This window comes from Homo sapiens, chromosome 14 (genome assembly GCF_000001405.40).
Source record: "Homo sapiens chromosome 14, GRCh38.p14 Primary Assembly".
Taxonomy (NCBI): domain Eukaryota; kingdom Metazoa; phylum Chordata; class Mammalia; order Primates; family Hominidae; genus Homo; species Homo sapiens.
The window spans coordinates 37412610-37434031 of record NC_000014.9 but is presented as its reverse complement, the minus strand read 5'-3'; the positions used below and the strand labels follow the sequence as shown (position 1 = coordinate 37434031).

The following is a 21422-nucleotide window of genomic DNA, read 5'->3' as shown; positions in this document are numbered from 1 at the left end:
GATTATAAATCATTTTATGATAAAGACACATGCACACGTATGTTTATTGCGGCACTATTCACAATAGGAAACACTTGGAACCAACCCAAATGCCCATCAATGATAGACGGGATAAAGAAAATGTAGCACATATACACCATGGACTACTATGCAGCCATAAAGAAGAGTGAGTTCAGGGTCGGGTGCGGTGGCTCATGCCTGTAATCCTGGCACTTTGGGAGGCCGAGGCAGGTGGATCACCTGAGATAAGGAGTTTGAGACCAGCCTGGCCAACATGGTGAAACCCCGTCTCTACTAAAAATACAAAAATTAGCCGGGCATGGTGGCGGGCACCTGTAATCCCAGCTACTTGGGAGGCTGAGGCAGAAGAATCACTTGAACCTGGGAGGCAGAGGTTGCAGTGAGCTGAGATCACGCCACTGCACTCCAGCCTGGGCAACAGATCGAGACTTGGTCTCAAAAAAACAAACAAACAAGAATGAGTTCATGTCCTTTGCAGGGACATTGTTGAAGCTGGAGACCATCATTCTCAGCAAACTAACACAGGAACAGAAAACCAAACACTGCAAGTTCTCACTCATAAGCGGAAGTTGAACAATGAGAACACATGGACACAGGAAGGGGACCATCACACACCGGGGCCTGTTGGAGGTTGGGGGGCAAGGGGAGGGATAGCATTAGGAGAAATACCTAATGTAGATGATGGGTTGATGGGTGCAGCAAACCACCATGGTACATGTATACCTGTGTAACAAACCTGCACTCTGCACATGTATCCCAGAACTGAAAGTATAATTAAAAAAAAAAATTAGGCATGGTGGCATGTGCCTGTAGTCCTAGCTACTCAGGAGGCTGAGGCAGGAGGATCATTTCAGCATGGGAGTTTGAGGCTGCAGTGAGCTATGATTGCACCACTGCACTCCAGCCTAGGAAACAGAGCGAGACCCTGAGTCAAAAATAAAAAATTTTAAAAAGTACAACATCAGCCCTTCACTGGTTTTCCAGCCCGATGGCTTGCTCTGAGATTTTCAGACTTGCCAGGCCCCACAATTGTTTGAGCCAACTTCTTAAAATGAATCTCTTGCCCTATTTATATACAGTCTATTGGTTCTCTTTCTCTGAAGAACCCTGAATAATAAACATGTCATACTATAATCCTAAGCGTCCCACATTGCCAGATCTCCTAGATCTCATTTTGGCAATGAATTTAATATATTTTTTCCAATGATATGCAGACCAAACAAAGCAACCACGGAAAATATTTTATTTTTTCATTCTAAGAATAATGCTGCAATGAACAGTGGATAATGATACTATTTCCTAAGTTTTTTTTTTAATTCTAAATTTTAAGAAAGGTAAAATCCAAACAAATGTTTCCAATGATAGTTTTCAAATATGAACACTGTAGGTCTAAAAAAAAAAGAAATTTTTTTGGTAGGTGATATATTTGCTTTATTATATGGAGACACCATTTTGACCCACATCCGTGTAAATAACTAACCTACATGCTGGACTAGGTTCATGTCATCTAAAATCATTCATTCATTTACACATTTATCAATGAGTTCTTATTATATGCAATGCACACAAAAAAACATTGTGCAGGAGACACTGTACATCTGAATAAACTTTCAATCTAGTGTTAACTTTGTTTATTCATTTGTGGACATATATTTACTAAAGTCTTGCTATACATAAAGAACAGAAGCACTAGTAGGGGAGTTAAGACACATATTCATAGAACTATTGGACTAGAAGGCATGAGGTATGTATTGCAAGAGAGCCACTGTGAATAACTATGGTAGGAATTTTACACAGTGAGATCACTTCTAACGGACAAGATTAGAAAAGGATTAATAGAATAGCTGTTACTTAAATTATGATGTGAAGCCTCAATAAAAATGGGATAGGCAGAGATGGAGTAGTCCAGGAGGAAATGACGACATGAGAAAGCACTGAAGTGGGAAATTGTTGGGTGTGTCCATGGAATATTGAACAATCTATTTTGGGAGTGCACAAAATAGTCAATTCAGTGTAACAAATATTTGTTGAGCGCTTACTATGTGTGAAGCAGTATACCAGTGACACAAATATGAATGAAACTGGGAAGCAAAAAGATGATTGGTGAAATACTAAACTAGAAACAGGGCCGGGCGTAGTGGCTCACGCCTGTAATCCCAGCACTTTGGGAGGCTGAGGCGAGCGGATCACGAGGTCAGGAGACCGAGACCATCCTGGCTAACATGGTGAAACCCCGTTCCTACTAAAAGTACAAAAAAAAAAAAATTAGCCAGGCATGGTGGCGGGTGCCTGTAGTCCCAGCTAGTTGGGAGGCTGAGGCAGGAGAATGGTGTGAACCTGGGAGGTGGAGCTTGCAGTGAGCTGAGATCGCGCCACTGCACTCCAGCCTGGGCGACAGAGCAAGACTCTGTCTCAAAAAAAAAAAAAAAAAAAAAAAAAAAGAAACAGAGATGGCAGCAATATCAAGGAAGTTCATGAACGTTACATTAAAGAGTTCGGACTTTATTATATATGTAATGTGGTATTGTTAAATACTATTGATGGCTGAATCAGAGGGTGAAAATAAAGTTTCAGGAATCTTAAGAGAAGTAAGGATGGAGAAGACAAGTAAACAAAGTAGCAAAAAAAGCTTGGGCATGAAATTATTCAGGTGTAGTCTAAGTAGGCAAAGGCAAAAGTGACAATGATTGCAAGGAAAAATCTAGCAAAAGCTCGTTATAAATTAAATTTAAGAAAGCGATGAATCAAAGATTACCTATGTAGGAGGCAATTGCCACCTGTGGACCTATAATAATAGTGATTCTGAGTGCCAAGACCAAGGGAAACACTGCACTTTTTTAATCTAACAAAATATAAAACTGTATTTTTCTCAAGCTAATAGAAACAACGTTTAGAAACATCAAATTCCAGGACCTATAATTAGCAAGCCCATTCTAATACAAACTCTGGGTCCTTTGCTAGGCACAACCATTAAGTGACAAAATATTTTGTTAAATGCTCTTAAAAGGAGGTTGAGTCACTTTGTAGAATAACAATTAGCAGTTGAGAGCTATACATGTTGAAATTTAGTTTTATTCTTATAGCTTACTGTGTTGAATAAGGCGCAGAAAATTGTGAAAACTGATAATGCCAAAAAACGTCCTTCTGGATAGAAAGCTATAGAAGATACAAATTTACTTCAGTAGCAATAGCCTCTTTACTAATTTAATTGTCTTATGTCTCAAGACAGCAAACATTTGTAAGTGATTTTATAAATTACATTTATTAATATATCTCCTTTGCACAGTGCTTCACAGTTTTCAAAAACATTCAGATGTATCATCTCACTGATTTTCATATTAAGCAGGTTAGATACTATTGCTGTTTACAGGTGAGGCAATCGACATTCAGAAGTAGCTTAGTAAATGCCACATTCTATAAGTTGAGAGGAAGAAGAGACAAATGCTTAATAAATATAGTCCAAATCACTGGACATACAGAAAATGTATACTTTTTTTTAAAAAAAAAAACTATTTTAATTTTCTTTTTGTTTTACATTCCAGAGTCACCAATAAATATATATATAGTGACTTGAACAGTGAAGCCAGCTGTAAATTTTTAAATTTAAAGGCCCTGAAAATAGACACAACTTAATGGCATAAAAAGACTGTTTGACTTTAAATGTTACTAAATAAAAATTTAATCTACCATATAAAGGGGTAACAAATTTCATAAAATGTGAGAAGTAGAAAAAGCTTTTCACGTCAAAATTAAAGAAGCTGAAATCAAGCAAAGTTGAAACTTGTCTACGGTAATCAAAAAAAAATCTGATTAATGCCAAAGATGGAAGTGTAATTCAAGTCTTCTTGTGTTCTTTTTAATCACAGCTGTTGCAGTATGGTACCATAATGTAGCTCCATAGATAGTTAATTATTAGAGAAAACAGAGGTGTGACAAAAAATTTATGTCACCGGGTAGGCCAACTGACACTACTGATTAGAATATACAACTAACGAGGTCAGGATTGAGTGTTCAACCCCACTCTTGGTGAGGGATTTGCATTGAGAAAAATATTGCTTCATGGCTATAGTTTGCATGCTATAATCACCAGTGACTTTTCTTATCAACTCGTAGTTCTGACCAAGAAAGCATATGGTCCAATAAAAAACTATCACTACCATTAAAACAAAACAAAAAAACCCCATGGATTCTAGTGACAGTCAGCAGTATTTCTGACTGTTAAGGACAGTATATACACAGACCAAAAAAAGTACACAAAGAGAAAAGGACCTATACTGAATAAAATTTACTAAAGTAATATAGAAAAAAATAAAGAATTTTACTTTCTTTTTGTGTATATTTCATCTGGCCTCTATCTTTATGGTTTCTATGACTTTTAAATGTATACTACAAACCCAGTAAGTAGGGTTAATGTTTATTCCACTTTTCACTATGTTAAACACGTAAGTATTTCATATAATTATTATCAAAAAATACTAGTTCAATCACAGGAAACAAATTACCTTAAAAAGTGAAGAATTCTCTTCAACATTTTTGTTCTAAAATGTCAACTTTACCATATTCTGAATGGCATTACAAATTCACACATGGAATCACACAAAATATAATAAAAATTTAAAACACACTGACTTGTTAATTATAATATGTATAATAAATCCTATACTACTGGCTCCAAACAACAAGGTCTAATTCTTGTCTAAACACTTTAATTTACACTTTCTTTAAGTGAAAGAAAATATAAGGAAGCACTATAAAATCAGCAAACATCGAAACAGGCATTCCCTCAATTAGAAAAGAGTTTGTTATTATTATGCCTCCTGAACTTAGGAATGCAGCACTACAGGTTTATAACAACAGGAAAAAAATCATTACTAAATACAAATCTAATCCCTACAAGTTTAAGATTCTTTCTTGATGAAACTGTCTAGATTTAGATTAATGAAAGTGTTGCAAATGGATTTAGCATTTGCTATAGCAATCAGGAGGTACTAATATTTACTAATAGCACTTTTATAATATGTGGAATTTATTTTAAATCTTTGTATTGTTAGTCCTCTCCTGCTATCTTTTCTGTTTTAATGCATAAGAGCTATCAGCTACAGTGGTAAGTTTAATATCTCTATCCTCCCATCTCACTGGCCACTGCTCCTAACTGCCAAAAGAAACAAAAGACCAACACTTCATTTTCTTAGCACTCAAAATATTCTAAAACTCAAAGGAAACAAACAGAATAAAGAAACTCATAAACCTGTATTTCCATATTTCCAGTTTCCTTATTTCCATACAAGGGAATGGAATGTTTTTACCAGCAGTAGCTCTTACACTAAACCAGAAAAAAAAAAAAAAAAAGATTTTTGGAAAAAAACCCACTTTTTTAAAAAAAAGGCCAGTATCACTAATTAGTAAAGAAGAAAAAAACTGGGGAGACAGAGTCTCACTCTGTTTCCCAGGCTGGAGTACACTGGTGTGATCTCCACCCACGGCAACCTCTGCCTCTTGGGCTCAAGTGATCCTCCCACCTCAGCCTCCCGAGTAGCTGGGATTACAGGCACACGCCATGCCTTGCTAAATTTTGTATTTTTTGTAGAGATGGGGTTTGGTCATGTTGCCCAGGCTGGTCTTGAACTCCTGGACTCAAGTGATCCGCCAGCCTCCCAAAGTGCTGGGGTTACAGGCGTGAGCCACCATGCCCGGCCACTAATTAGTAAAATCAAAGGAAAGGTAGAATGAAAGCCATCATCATATTTTAATCTGCCCCTAAAACGAAGAGCTGATCATACATCCTCCATTGTTTTGGCTGTTGGAGAGTTGAGAGTCAGACTTGAAGTTTTCTCTTTTGCTGCTTCACAGTATACATGCCGGCTGTATTCTGACTCACTCCAGGCTCTAGCTACCTGTCCTAATCCTATATTTTCCCAGCCTTATTTTTTTCTTAAATATTGGTAAATAACTTTCTCTAATATGACAATATACATGTATAAATGTATATGTAAATGTAAACTGATTTGGATAGCTGTAAGTATTGCTTGCCAGACATAATCCATTATCTATGAGTTCTATCTATCCATTTAATCTATCTGAAAATTACAGTTAGTTTTAGGTTCCTTCACATAAAATGGAACCTTTTCATTTCCTCTATAACATAGGAAAATTAGTAGAAAAAACTAATATTTCTATGAATTAGTTGTGTTTCACATACAGATTTGTAAGCACCATTTACCAGGTGTGTAAGAAATACTGTTTACTTTCATTTAAATCAAATTAAAGTAGACTTTGAGCTTGCAGGAAACTTAAGCTTGGTTTTTTTCATAATTTCCTCCCCCGTCCTAGAGTTGTACATCCCAGGAATCTTAAACTAATCCCATTTAAAATAAATTTCTGTATATCCTCACAGAGTGTTCTCTGTACCTTTAAAAAAATGTGTGGTAAAATGACAACATAAAATTTACTATTTTAATCATTTTAACTGCACAACTTACTGGCAGTAAGTATACTGACAATATTGTACAATTGTCACCATTATTCATTTCCACAACTTTTCATCATCCCACTCTATGTAAATCATATAATTCCCCACTCTTATAACTCCGTATTCCCCTTCTCCAACTCCGGGTAACCTCTATTTTATTTTCTGTCTCTATGAACTTGGCTATTTTAAGTACCTCATATAAGTGGAATCATACAATCTTTCTTTCTTATCTGGTTTATTTCGCTTAGCATAATGTCTTTAGGTTTGTCCATGTTGCAGCATGTATTAGAATTTCATTTGTTTTTGAATAATGAATAGCTGGATAATGTTCCATTCTCTGTATATACCACATTTTGTTTATTCATCTGCTGAGGGACACTTGGGTGGTTTCCACCTTTTGGTTAATATGAACAATGCTTTCATAAACATCGGTGTACAGTAACTGCTTGTCCTTACTTTCAATTCTTTTGGGTATATACCTAGGAGTGGGCTTGCTAGATCATATGGTAATTCTGTGTTTGACCTTTGAGGAACCACCAAATTGTCTGCCACAGTGACTGCATCAATTTACATTCCCATCAGCGATGCAGGAAAGTTCTCTGTATCTTTTTGTTTTAGGAGAAACATGGAATCTCCCTGGAAGATGCAACTTCCCTTAAATTTTTGAGTGGATACCAAACATTCTTCCATGCATCACACATTGTGCAGGTCTCTTCTTATGATATATCTTCATTCAATATGTACGATTTATCTGTTTTTGGGTCATGCTCAGAACTGAGTGCTTCACTTCATTTAAGCATTTCACTTAAATAGTAACATTCCACTTTCCGACTTCAATCTCCTGTCTCTTCAGCTCTTGAATTATACATACTTGTGTGCATATATATATACACATATATAATATATATATATACATATATACATATTATATATGTATGTGTGTGTGTATATATATATATATATATATATATGTATATTTTGAGACAGAGTTTCACTCTTGTTGCCCAGGCTGGAGTGCAATGGTGCAATCTTGGCTCACTGCAACCTCCACCTCAAGTGATTCTCCTGCCTCAGCCTCCTGAGTAGCTGGGATTACAGGTGTCCGCCACTACACCTGGCTAATTTTTTGTATTTTTAGTAGAGACAGGGTTTCATCATGTTGGCCAGGGTGGTCTTGAACTCCTGACCTCAGGTGATCTGCCCACCCTCTCATGTTCAGAAGCCAACACTGACCCCTACTTTATGTAGGGGGTTGGAGGTGTGGTTAATACTAATTGTGGCCTCAAATTTACAAATATAGCTATTCTTAATTCCTTTACTCCTGTCTCTGATCACAATTTGGCCAGCTTTTTGTTCAAGGTGAACTTTTCTGCAGATACTCTAAATTCCATCCCTTCCTACCTCCTCTGGAATCTTGCTCTATAAGAATTCTTTATTGTGGCTTCCTCAAATTAGCCATAAATATACTCAAGTATTTGCTATTTTTCAAAAACAAAAATCCTTAACCTACGTTTCCTCTCTTCTCAATTATCATTACCACCTTTCTTACTCAAGTTTCTTCAAGGACTGCTCTATTGTCCAAATTGCTATGCTTCTTTACCTCCTAATTACTCTTCAATTCACAGAAAACTGATGTCTATATCTAATACTCTGTTGACTAAACTACTCTGTGGAAGTCACTAATGGCCACCGAATTTCCAATGTAAAGGATACCTTTGGTCCTTATCATAGTTAACCACTTAGTAACATTTGACTCTTTTTTCCTATGGGAAATCTTCTTTGGTTTCAGTGATATATTTTTTGGTTCTGCTCCTACCTCAATGATCTTTTGTTTTAAAAAGAAATATATCTTAACATTGGTTGATCAATAACAATAAACCAAACACTGTGCTAAGAACTGAATATACCTAAAACAACCCTATAAGTAGGTACTATTACTCTCATTTTAAAGAAAGGAAAGGAGCTTGGTGAGGTTCATTTATACACGACCACACATGTCATGGCTGTCTAATTGCAAATCCCAGTGGCTTTATTACATCACCATAAATTTTTTTTAAGTAGCAGTGAGAAAAGTAGTTGTGAAGCATATCTTTCAACCAATAATTACTAATCTCTATTTAGAAGAGATCATATAATCCTACTAGACTCATGTAGATTTTAAAGAGTATTTGAAAAACAAGAATTTTAGCTTTATGATTTTCAAAAATGATTTAATCATCTTCCACAATTCAGCAGAGAAGGAGCTTCAGGAACTGGCATCAAGGTTTGCTTGTTAGGAAGTAATGTCAGTTCATGCAACATCATCATATACCTCTTGGAATTCTCTGACACTGTCACTTCATCAACAGAGCACCTACTGTCTTGTCCCATAAATGTTACTGGAGAATGTTCCATAAAAACCTTCCCCATCAATAAGGTGAATCTACTAATTACCACATTGCAATGTCCATGGTCAGGGCACAAACCACATGGCATTCATGTGTTCATAATTGGTTTAATATCTGCCTCTTTATTACTTTACCAAGAAGAGATCCTAATTTAATGCAGCTAACTGAAATATGCATGTAGAACATCAGCTCTCAAACTTGGCTGCATAAAGGAATTTTCTAGAGAGCTTTAAAAACACACTGATGTAATCAGCATGGGGTGGGCTAAGTGTCAGAATTTTTAGAGGCCATCAGGTTATTCTAATGGCAGCTACAGTTGAGAGTCATTGGTGTAAAAGACAGAGGAAAGAGTGTAATATTCATTTTATAGTCCAAAATAAAGTAGGTTGGTAGGATGTATTCATTCACCATCAGGGTTTTCGATACCTGTATGCCCACTTATAGACACTAATTCTAATTGCAAAAGCAAATGATTCCCAACAGTCAGTGACCAACCAAACATACTTGACGTTTGATAACTGCATTAGTTTCCAAGGACAGCCATAACAAAGTACCACAAACTGTGTGGCTTAAAACAACAGATATTTAATATCACATAGTTCTGGAAACTATAGAAGTCTGGAATCAGGTGTCGGCTGGGCTATGTTCTTTCTGACAACTGTAAAGGAGAGTCCTTCCTTGCCTCTTCTAGTGTTTGGTGTTTACCAGCAATTGTTGGCCCTCCTTGGCTTGTAGATACATGGCAGTCTTCTCCCTGTGTGTCTTCAGATTGTCTTCCCTCTGTGCATGTCTGTCTCTGTGTCCATAATTTCCCCTTTTTATGGGGACACCACTAGTAGTGGATTAGAGCCCACCCTACTGACTTTATTTTAATTTGATTACCTCTGTACAAACCCTATTTCAAAATAAAATCACATTCTCAGATAGCAGGGGTTAGGACATCAGTATAACCTTTTTGGGTGGCATAATTCAACCTGTAACAATAGCCAACTACTGCAGATGTTAGTAATATTGCTCCAAAGCAGGAGTGCTTAACTTGGGGATGGGAAAGAATTATATCTTTATTTTCACCAACTCTTATGGAACTACAGTATTTCCTACAATTATGAACATGAGCAACAAATTGCAGTAGTAATATCAGTGGTTCTTGAGAGTTTGCACCCATAGAAATCACTGGTATTTTCATGTCACATTTCAGCATTTGCAGTTATCCAAAAATACCACTTACAGTCATCACTGGCTTGAAACTAAAGTTGTTAATGGACTTGCTGCTAGATCTAGTTACTTTATCCATTAATAATGATGCATGTATATCATGATATATCATGACATAATATTTTCTTAATTGTACTTCAGTAAAACTTATTTTGATTTAATTGCATTTTATGCATTTTAACTTTATTCTGAGAAAAGGTCCAAATTAAAACAAAAATCTTTCAAAAACTTAACAGCACCCTTAGTGAATTCCTACATTTCAGACTTGAGGATTTTTTAAACTTAGTAATGAAAGAATATACATGGCATTGTGCATCGGTGTGTTTTTTCAATGTTTTCTACCATGATCCACTGTAAGAATATGTTTTACACATAACCCAATACAAAATCTTTTTTCTCTTTCTCACATACAAACCTGAAACAAAAGTTTACCATTACTATAAGAGATGCATTCTGACATTTCTATTCATTTTCATTAAAAAATACCTACCTTATTAATTTATGTTACAGGGGTAGTTGTGAATACTCCTGTAACATAAATTAATAAGTCTGTCATATTAAAATACATGAAAGGTTATTATTGCTGCTCATGTGTGTTTTAAAATATATATATTTAAATATATATTACATTTATATGTATAAGTATAAATGTATGTATATTTTATATTTATATTTACGATTGTTTTAGAGGTGATATTTAGATGGGCAAATAGCTCAACAGCTATCCAGGCTTCATTTAGACAACTGGTAATGGATTATGTAAATTTCAGTTACAATGAAAGTGGAAATTTAAACTTTACCAAATATAGTAAAGAGAAGAGGTAGAATAATAAATACTATAAGCCTGAATCTTTTTTAGTTATAAAAATGCTTTAAGTGCATAATATTTAATTTCATTGAGGTATTTCCTCATTCACTATTGTAAAATCAGGTAGAAACATTTCCCAAACTAACAATATTTACTTAACCCCAGGCTAAAAAGAATTTTACCTGTAGTAAACTCGAAGGGTCTGGATTTCCTCTTCCAGTTTTTTGTACTGTTGAACTGCAGTTTCTCTGGCTTGTTGCATAGATAACAACTTTGCCTAAAAGTAATTAATATTTTAAGAAATTCAGTATTCATTTTGGTATGATAAAATACAGTACCACGGTAAGAACAGTAGTCTTAAATTACTGACAGTTAAAAAAAAAAACCTATGAATGTTTTTAGCAGTGTCTCATAAGTTACCAGAAAATAGTCTAAAGGCATTAATAATACAAACACTAAAAACTTGAACATATTAAATTTAGCAATCTTGCTCATTACTAAACTTCAACCTTATTTATCTGTACCATCAGATATATGCCCTTCTGCAATGTTTAACTTTATACACAGAATTCAGAAAGTGGAACATGGGTTTCAGAGCAATATCTACAGTAGAGATAAGTACAATGGGTGTTTCACATACAAATTTAATGTGGCTCCACTGCCTGAACATACTAGATTTTCTTTTAACTTTATTAATAGTAAAACTCAGAAAATTCTAAATATGTTGTCAAGCCATCTTTGATATTGAATGTGAAAAAAATACAGCAGGCTACAGACTGATTCTTACAGTTATGATTTAACCTTTTCAATTCCTTCTCTGTGGGAGAAAAACAAATCCCGAAAGGGGAGAACGGCAGCAACCGTAAATGCTAGTGATACTTTATTAAAGGGGCATTATTGTTCCTTCCTGCTATAATTTTTGAGTTTTAAAGAACAGGTAATCAGTTTTTTTCAATGAGGTTCAACGTAGTAATTTAAAAAGAATTTGCCACCCTCCCACCATCATTCCCATAGGATTTCAAACAACACCAAAAACAGTTTTCAAGTAACTTTGAAAATCTGGCACTGGTAAGTCAGGTTTTAGTATTGTTTATTCAAAGTTAAATTTTCATAAAATGGTTATCTTTCACTTTGCTTTAAATGGTGTTTGAAAGGTAACACAGAGCAAATTGTTGTCACAAACCTCACAAAGTAGGACACCACCAACAATTAAAAAGTAATAGAAAGTTTGGAGCCACAGGTTCAGAATTTTGCTGAATTCATATAATTTCAATGGAATTATTTTATTGTATAAGAAGTCATAAGAAAAATTGTAAAACCCTGATTATAGGAAAATTAATCAATGTAATAAAAGTGAACTTTACAGAATGCTACTTTTCTATTTTGATAATAATTTTAAAAGCATGCAGCAGTTTGGACCTTTGCATGTAAGTTTTAGCATTAAGATTAATCTGTTCTCTGAACTGGTAAATTCTATCCAAGTGTTACTTTATAGTTAAATTTAAGATGTTTGAATGCGTGCTTTAACATGACATAGTCCATAATTAGAGATAAAACATTCTAAAAAACTAGGGAAAAGCATCTAAAGTAAAAATAGATGGCTGATTCTTAACGTCAAAGAATGCAAGCTTTTCCAATTTTCAGTATACCATAAAATGTGATTAAAATGGTAACTTAGAAGACACAGATACCCACTGTGACTAATGGCAGGTCAAAAAGAATCAAAAATATCACATTCAACTTTAAAAACTTCAGACTTCAGACATGCATTTAAGGAATATCAAATACTGAACGGGTAATAGAGATTTTACTAAATAAATATGTGCCAGTGCTACGTATGTACAAATGCTGAAATAAAATGATTGTTTTGAAGTCTTTTACTTGGTACCTGTGCACAGAAAACAAAACCAAAACCAACCAACAAAACAAAAATTCTTGTAGGAAAACACTGAAATGTAGTTTTTGCCTAGAAATTTTCATAATGAAAATGGGACTGTGATAAATTTAAATTCCCATGCTTAAGGTACTATTGAAAATTTCACTTTCTCCTCCCACACTTAGTTGACTATGAAGACTTGGTTGCTTTATAACAGTTCACTCAATTCACTCAATTTCTTAATTCCCAGTATCTAATTTTTTTCCTAGGCCCTAGTGATTATGTTCAAAGCTATTATAAACTTTCTGGCTTTACGATATCCTTACTTTATCAGATATATGCTTATCCAGCAGCATTTCTTTTTTCAGAAATACCCTTATCCTATGCTACAGTGATCTTGTTCAGTCTCTGTGGCTACAATGAACTTCATCCCCCATCACCTCGGGTATAAGATCCAGGTTGTCTAATTGAAGTACTGCATCCCACTAGCCTCAGAAGAAAACCAAGTCCTGATGATATCATTTCTACTCTTGGATTCACATATGCCAGAAAACAGATCCAGATCTGCTTCCTGGACTTCCAGGGTAGATAAATCCTTTGTTGGGGGGTAAGTTGGAGGGTGACTTAGGCTAGTCTGAGTTGGGTATCTGTTGCATGCATTGTTGAAACACTCAACCAATTTAAATGTGCTCTTTACTTCTATAGTATTTCCTAGATTGATATTTATATCATATAATCCTATCATACTATATGTCAAAAATAAGTCTCTTATCAAAAATATCAAGGAAATTAACAAACAAGATATTTTTCCTGTTTTTCTTTCAGGCATCCTATTCCCATATTTCTGGCAATTACTTTTATAAAAACTGCATGCATTCATTTACGTGTATACTTGCAAAAATAAATGCATGCATTAAACAAAAACTAACAAAACTCAGTGTAAGAGAATATACAATGTAAAGTAAATCTCCCACCTCCTACCCTCAGTACTACAAATCCCTTCTCCTGAGACTACTAGTTATCTGTCCATTGTACCTCCTTCCAGAGATAGTCTGTACATATATAAGCATATATAGATACTTGCAAATAAATTACCCTGATTTACAAAATTGATAGCGCTTTATACACACTGTTATACACACCTTGCTTTTTTTTTTTTCAAAAATTGCTATTTTGCGTCACATAAAAAAAAAATTCAGCCAGGTACAGTGGCTCATGCCTATATGGTAGCTCATGCCTCATTTCCCAGTGCTTTGGCAAGCTAAGGTGGGAGGATTACTTCAGCCCAGGAGGTTGAGATCAGCCTGGACAACATAGCAAGACCTCATCTCCACAAAAATTTTTAAAATTAGCTGGGTGGGCTGGCATGCACCTATAGACCCAGCTACTCAGAAGGCTGAGGCAGGAGGATTGCTTGAGCCCAGGAATTCAAGGCTTCAGTGAGCTAGGATCACACCATTGCACTCCAGCCTGGTCGACAAAGTGAGACCCTGTCTCTAAAAAAGAAAAAAAAAAATCCCCTACCCCATTCCACGTATCACACTCATCAGTCACATCCCTTTCTTCCTTCCCAGCGCCAAAGAAAACACTTCTATGAATTTGGGTTCATTATTTACAAGTATATTTTATACTTTTACTATAGTATAAACATTTTACACAAGTATAACACTTTTTCTTCTTATACTCATATTTTAGGTAAAATTTTATCAAAGTAAACATATATGCAAGTAAGTACACATATGGATTTTTCAATGTCAGACTTATTGAGTCATAATTTATATAAGGTAAAGATTTACCCATTTTCACTATATAGTTCTGTAAATTTTGACAAAGTTATCCAGTCTTGACACAGAATATTCTTGTTACCCCCAAATGGTCCTTGTGCAACATTGGAGTCAATGCCTTCTTTTCACACTCAGCCTCTGGCAATCAGTGATGTGATTTTTGTCCCTACAGTTTTTCCTTTTTAAGAATGTCATATAAATAGAATCACACAGTATGCAGTCTTTTGAGTCTAGCTTCTTTTACCTAAACATAATTTTTTGAGATTCATCCATATTATTTCATGTACTGGTAGTTTATTCTTTTATACCACTGAGTAGTATTCAATTGTATGAATGTATCACAATCTGTACATCCACTTACCTGTTAGACATTTGGCTGATTTCTAGTTCTTTGGCAATTACTAATAAAGCTGCTATAAATATCGACATAGAGGTCATTTTTGTGGAAATATAACTTTGTTTCTCTTGGGTAAATACCTAAGAGTGAAATTGCTGAGTCCTGTGGTAAGTGTGCATTTACACTATATATAGATATATATAGCTATATAAAGTTTTATATGGATAATAAAGTTATATACTTTATTTTAAAATGCCCAAACTTTCTGCCTATAATGATATCGCTTTAAAACATCCAAGCTTAACTACAAATCAATGCCACTTTTTGACCACCTACTATCAGTTAGGCATTCTTTCGAGTGTTTAAAATATATTACTATATTCTATTCTCATAACCAACCTATGAGGTAGTTCCTATTATCCCTATTTTGCAAGATATAAAACATAGGTTCATAAAGCTTAAGTAATTTCTAATTATAACAGAGCTAGTGAACTCAAATAGAAATTCAGACCCATTTGTTCCAAAATACATATTTTCTTTTTATACCACTGTATACATTATATATAAATTACATAATTCCAGGTGACATAATGGAATCAAATGATCATTTGATAACAGAGTTAATGACAATAATCAAAGTTCACAGAATAATCAGAGTGTATTTTATTATACCTTACGTGATTGAAAAATGGGTTGGTTAACTAAGGTTAGTCTTATAGTTACCTATCTTGATATCAGTCTTGACCAATGCCATCTAAATAGGACAGCCATTTGTGTTGGGACTGTATCAGAAATGAACTACATTGTTTCACTGGAGCTTAATCTAGTAACTCAGAATGACAAAGAAAAGACCACACTGTTCACATCACTAAGCGCTATTCTTAACCAGTATTGTGGATAAACCACTTTTATCTCTCCTTGAGATCTTGTTATGTTTGGTTTAAATGTGTTTTTAATAGTTATAGTCTGATACAGTTAAGCCTTGTTTTAGTAACTCCAAGACCATGAATGGAAATTGGTTTTTATCTTAGAACAGAGACATCTGATGTTATGTGTGATATCTGCTAAATAAAGAAGCATACAGTACAAATTAAATCACAGAAGCAAATAATTTTAGACTTGGAAAGGATCTCAGAGGTAATACGGAACCTTACTTTTATAGAGGAGGAAATTGTTGCTAATACAACATGTTCAGGGAAACATTTGGAAATTGTCCAAGGTTTCATAGATGGTTAGAAAGAAAGTTGGAACTAACAAGTATCCAGAAAACATTGCTTATTTTACCATAGAAGACCACATTTCAATATGGTATAATTTAATATGTGTGATAGTTATTTTAATAGAGTTATTTCCAGAGTAACCATAAATATATATGATTAAGCTAGCACTATTAAACACATCTATAAAATATATAATTGGGTATCTTCAAACAATACATCAAGTTAGATGATTTCTCAAAGAACATGACCATAGACCTACTAGGATTTTAATTTTTAACCTCAGAAGAAGGTTAAGAACCTAGTAAAAAGAAACATAACTAAGTAACTTGTGTAACGATACCCAAAAAGTTAAAAGCTATTTTCAAAAGGATAAAAATGACCAGGTTTCAATTAAACCTCCACTTCACAGGAAGGCTTGGATTGCTTACCATTGTGTATTTCCATAGTATATTGTTCCCTACAGCTGATTCCTTAGAGGTTGTTCTATTTTGTCCTGATGTCATGTCTCTCTGTTTATCAGACCAGAGATAATGAGGTTCCTCAGTCAAAAGTAGTCATATATACACTGTCGAGTGATATATGAGATAGTCTGACATGATGAGAGAGAGAAGAAAAGAGTTTGTGGTGGAAGCAGAACTCAAAACATTCACAGGCAGAAACTGATTCATGGGCAGTGAGCAGAAGCCATGGAGGAGAGAAAGGCAGGGGAGAGAGATGTATGCCAGAAAGACAGTGCAGCAATGGTGATTAAAAGCATAGTCTATGGAACCAGAAAGGCTGGGGTCCCACCCTGCCTTCACCACTTACAAACTCCCCTATCTTGGCAAGTTAGCAAATCTTTATGTGCCTCAACTTCCTCACCTACAAAATGGGGTAACTGTACTTTATATCTTAGAGGGCTGATGTTAGGAAGAACTAAGTTAAAATCTGTAAAACGTAACAGTGCCTGGGACATAGTAAATGCTTTAATAAGTGATTATTAAATAAACAGTAGGAAAACAAAAACTAGCTGGATCGCTCAGCAGATGAAGAAGCAGAAGATGTGCTGCAAAACAAGTAAAGAAAATAAAATCTAGTGTGGATCTAGCTGGTACCCTGAAAACCTTTCCACATAATGAAAGATGTCCAAGTCCCTGAGAGGTCTTGCTGTTTACGGTCTTCCTCATGATTCTATCTTCAGCAGAAAGTCTTGTTGACCAAGGTAACTAGGAGAGTTTTCTTTTTCTTTGTCATAGATCATGTAATTTTCCTTCCCAACAAAATTAGTACAGTCACACACAGAATAACAACGCTTTGGTCAACAACGGACCACATATAAGACTATAGTTCCATAAGAATACAACACCTATATTTTTACTGTACTTTTTCTATGTGTAGACATGTTTAGATACATAAATACTTGCTGCTGTGTCACAGCTGAACATGTTGTACAGGTTTGTAGCCTAGGAGCAATAGGCTACACCATATAACCTAGGTGTGTAGTAGGCTATACTACCTAGGTTTGTGTAAATACACTCTATTATGCCCATACAATGATGAAATCACCTAAGGATACATTTCTCAAAATGTATCCCCACTGTAAGTGATACATGACTGTATACAAAATGTCATATTCCTCAAGAATCTCCTTTTACTGTATGTCATAGGATTTCAATGATCACCTGTAAAAAGAGAATACATTTTAAAGACTTGATTTTAATATTTTTTGTTAAGTATAGTTTAAGTTGAATTCTCTTTATCATTAACAACCAATACCAGAATTTATAATACTTTAAATATGTATAGTGATGTGTGACGTATAAGACTTATACTATATTATCTAATTTCAGATAGTAGGAGCTTGAATACTTTCAAGTATGAATGAATGAATAAATGCTATTTCTATTGTTTTAGAAGAGAGGAAAATAAAAGAGAGATTATCAACTACTTAGATTCTCTCTTAATAAGGGGGCAAATCCTGGTCTTCTTTCAAGTCCTAACAATATGGTACTACAGTTATACATAGACACAGCAAAATAGGAAGACATGCCAGACACTATTCTAAGTGCATTCTATATTCATATTATCATTTCTCACAAGATATTGTATAGTAGCTACTATTACTATTCTATTATGTAGATGAGGAAAATGTTACATCACTTACTTGTCAGCCAGTTAATGAATGGTGGAGCAAGGGTTTGAACTCAGGAATTATGGCCCAAGTCTCTCCTTTTAACTACTATGCTATAAATACTAGACAAAATTTGGTGCTTTAAAAAATCTGTGCTAATTTTTTTTTTTTTTTTTGAGACAGAGTCTCGCTCTGTCGCCCAGGCTGGAGTGCAGTGACGCAATCTCGGCTCACTGCAAGCTCCGCCTCCCAGGTTCACGCCATTCTCCGGCCTCAGCCTCCCGAGTAGCTGGGACTACAGGCGCCCGCCACCACGCCTGGCTAATTTTTTGTATTTTTTTTTTTAGTAGAGACAGGGGTTTCACCGTGTTAGCCAGGATGGTCTCGATCTCCTGACCTCGTGATCCGCCTGCCTCGGCCTCCCAAAGTGCTGGGATTATAGGCGTGAGCCACCATGCCCGGCCAAAATCTGTGCTAATTTTTATCAGTGAATTATATTATCTAATTTGATTTAAATAAATTGGTACAAGAATTATTTTTTTAAACATAACTCATATAGTTTATTTTAAGATGCCATCCAAACCTTTCCTGGAGGCACATATATAGTTTTTGGATGTTAGTCCATTTAGTGACAAAAGGTCATCTATGGTGTTTCCCTCAACTTTACAGACCCCTGGCAAAAAAGTAGTATTACAGCTTCTCAGAAATATTAGTAATAGTATATAATTTATTTTTAAGGAATAATAATGATAAGGATTTCTCTCTACTGCAATAACTAACTCCCAAAGAAGACTACTCTGTTTTGGGGGCAGGGGTGGCACAAGTTTCCAAGCATTTATCCATTTACACATATGCAGGTAAGGTAAAGGGAAAAAAAATCTCTGCTGGATCTAGCAATGATTCAGCAAGTGTTCATTCTGCTTGTTTTACAAGTGTGTTTTTAAGACACTATTCTCAGTCAACTAGCCTGAGTTCCATTCCTGTGCTTGTTTCCTAGTACTTGGCTTAATCTTGAATCCAGACCTGTGCCTGTTTACTTGGATTCGGTTTCTGCCTAAATTTATACCCTCCAAAGTATTGTATCACTTTGGCTTTTTCAAAACACCAAATAGTAAGATATAGAGGCATAAACATGTAATTGTGCTTCTATATCAGCAAAAACAAAGAAGAAACCTTGAAGCAGTAAAAGGTAAATGATTATTTAAAAGGGATTCTCAATAAGATTAACAGTGAATTTCTTATAAGAAACCATGGAGGCCAGGGGCAGTAAGATGGAATATTTGAAGTAATGAGAGAAAAGACATGAAGAGATATTTCACAAGGGAAGATATCTACATGGCTGACAAACATGATACACATGCTCAACATCACTAGTTTTCAGGGACATAAGATTTAAATTCCAATATGCTGTCACTTCACCCACAATTGAAGAGGTAAAATTACAATGACTAATAATAGTAGGATATACTGGCTAAGATGTAAAATGACTAGAAATCTCTTACATTTTGGGTGGGTGTATAAATTAGTTTCATGCCTTTAGGAAATGTTTGGACTATTGATAATGGATGGCCTATTATGAAAATATGTCATTCACTAAACTGGGAGAAGTCAACTTATCTTTTCTCAAGTATTATGGGTATTATTAAAGATTATATTATGTTAGATTTGATTTTTAATAAAGTCATTAAAATTATATAGGTTAATAATCCTTTATTCACAATACAAAAACTCCAACACTTCTGAAAACAAAAAAGAACTTTAAAAAAATTTTTGGTACTGAAATCAATTGATGTTAAACCTAGGTAAACTGATGTAAAGCTATTTATGGTCTTCCTTTATCTCACTAATTGTAAATATTTACATTTTGTTGCAGAAATACTGTGTTTGGTTAGTTTTTAACTTATATTTGACTCCCCCGCATTGTTGCAGGCCTTTGAAAAGCCCGTAGCCTTGAGGCACTACGTTTATGGGATAAAACAGCCTAGTAAAAAAGCCTTTTAAACTAAGGTGTCTTAGGAACTGCCTTGTTTCCCAATCCCTCACTCCAACCAGATGTTGCTACTTGATTCTACCTGTGGTCTCATGCCCACATGTAATCTGGGAGGAGATCTTATCCTGGGCATAACAGGCAGAATAATGTCTCCCAAAGTGGCCCACATCCTATTCCCCAGAACCTGTGAATATGTTAGGTTATATGAAAAGAGGAGAATTAAGGTTGCAGGTGGAATTAAAGTTGCTAATCAGGTGACCCTGAGATGAAGATTACCCTGGATTATCTGGGTAAACCCAATGTAGTCACAAGTATCCTTTTAAGTGGAAGAGGGAGGCAAAGAATAAGAACCAGAGAGATGGGAGTGTAGGAAAGATTAAACTGGCCATTGCTCACCTTGAAGATGAAAGGGGGCCACAAGCCAAGGAACATGGATAGCTTCTAGAAGCTGGAAAACTTGAGACAAGTTTAGGCATATCTTCTCACTTTCTTTATGGAGTTCTTTTTCTGCTATTGCTATTTGTTTCAATATTTACATTAACATTTATATTTAAATGATTATTTAATACTATTAAAATAATACATTAATATTTATATTCCTTTTTAAACTATGAGCTCCTTGAGAGTTGTAACTACACACATATGCACGCTTTTATACATGGTACAAATAAAGATGTGTATTAAGTATTTGATAATATTGAAGTTAGTATAAACCATTCATGCTGGCATTTAAGGCCTTCCACAATGTGGCATTGAACTCTCTTTTATTCCTTCACACTCACTTTAGCCAAGGACCTGCCATAAATTCTGCCTAATTGTAATATTCCCTCCACCTAGAACACCAAATCTATGCCATGCTATCAAATCTACATCAATCCTTCAAGCCCCATTTTAATTATTACTTCTTACATAAAGTCCTTTCTTGATTATCTTCCCCACTCCAGAAAATTTTTCACCTGCTAAATCCTTAGTAATATTTTTTAAATTTTATTTTATTTTACATGAATGTTTCATTGAAGTATAATATACAAACAGAAAAGTTCAGGGCTCAATGAATTTTCATGAAGTGAACACACCTGTTTAACAGGAAACTAGATAAATAAATAGAATTATTTCCATCACCCTCACATATCCTCATGCTTCTACCTAATCTTCACCTTCACTAAAGGTAACCATCATCTTGACTTCTACTGTCATAGATCAGT

At 34.9% G+C, this 21422-nt stretch overlaps 1 protein-coding gene across 13 annotated transcripts in view; it reads right to left on the bottom strand.

Annotated features, from left to right (window-relative positions):
• Window positions 1–21422, bottom strand: part of MIPOL1 (mirror-image polydactyly 1) — a 354425-nt gene that overhangs the window by 118330 nt on the left and 214673 nt on the right. For all 13 annotated transcript variants that reach the window (NM_001195296.2, NM_001195297.2, NM_138731.7 and 10 more), the window contains one exon: window positions 11083–11177. In NM_001195296.2, the coding sequence (NP_001182225.1) occupies window positions 11083–11177 (95 nt within the window). The remainder of the gene's footprint in view (window positions 1–11082; window positions 11178–21422) is intronic.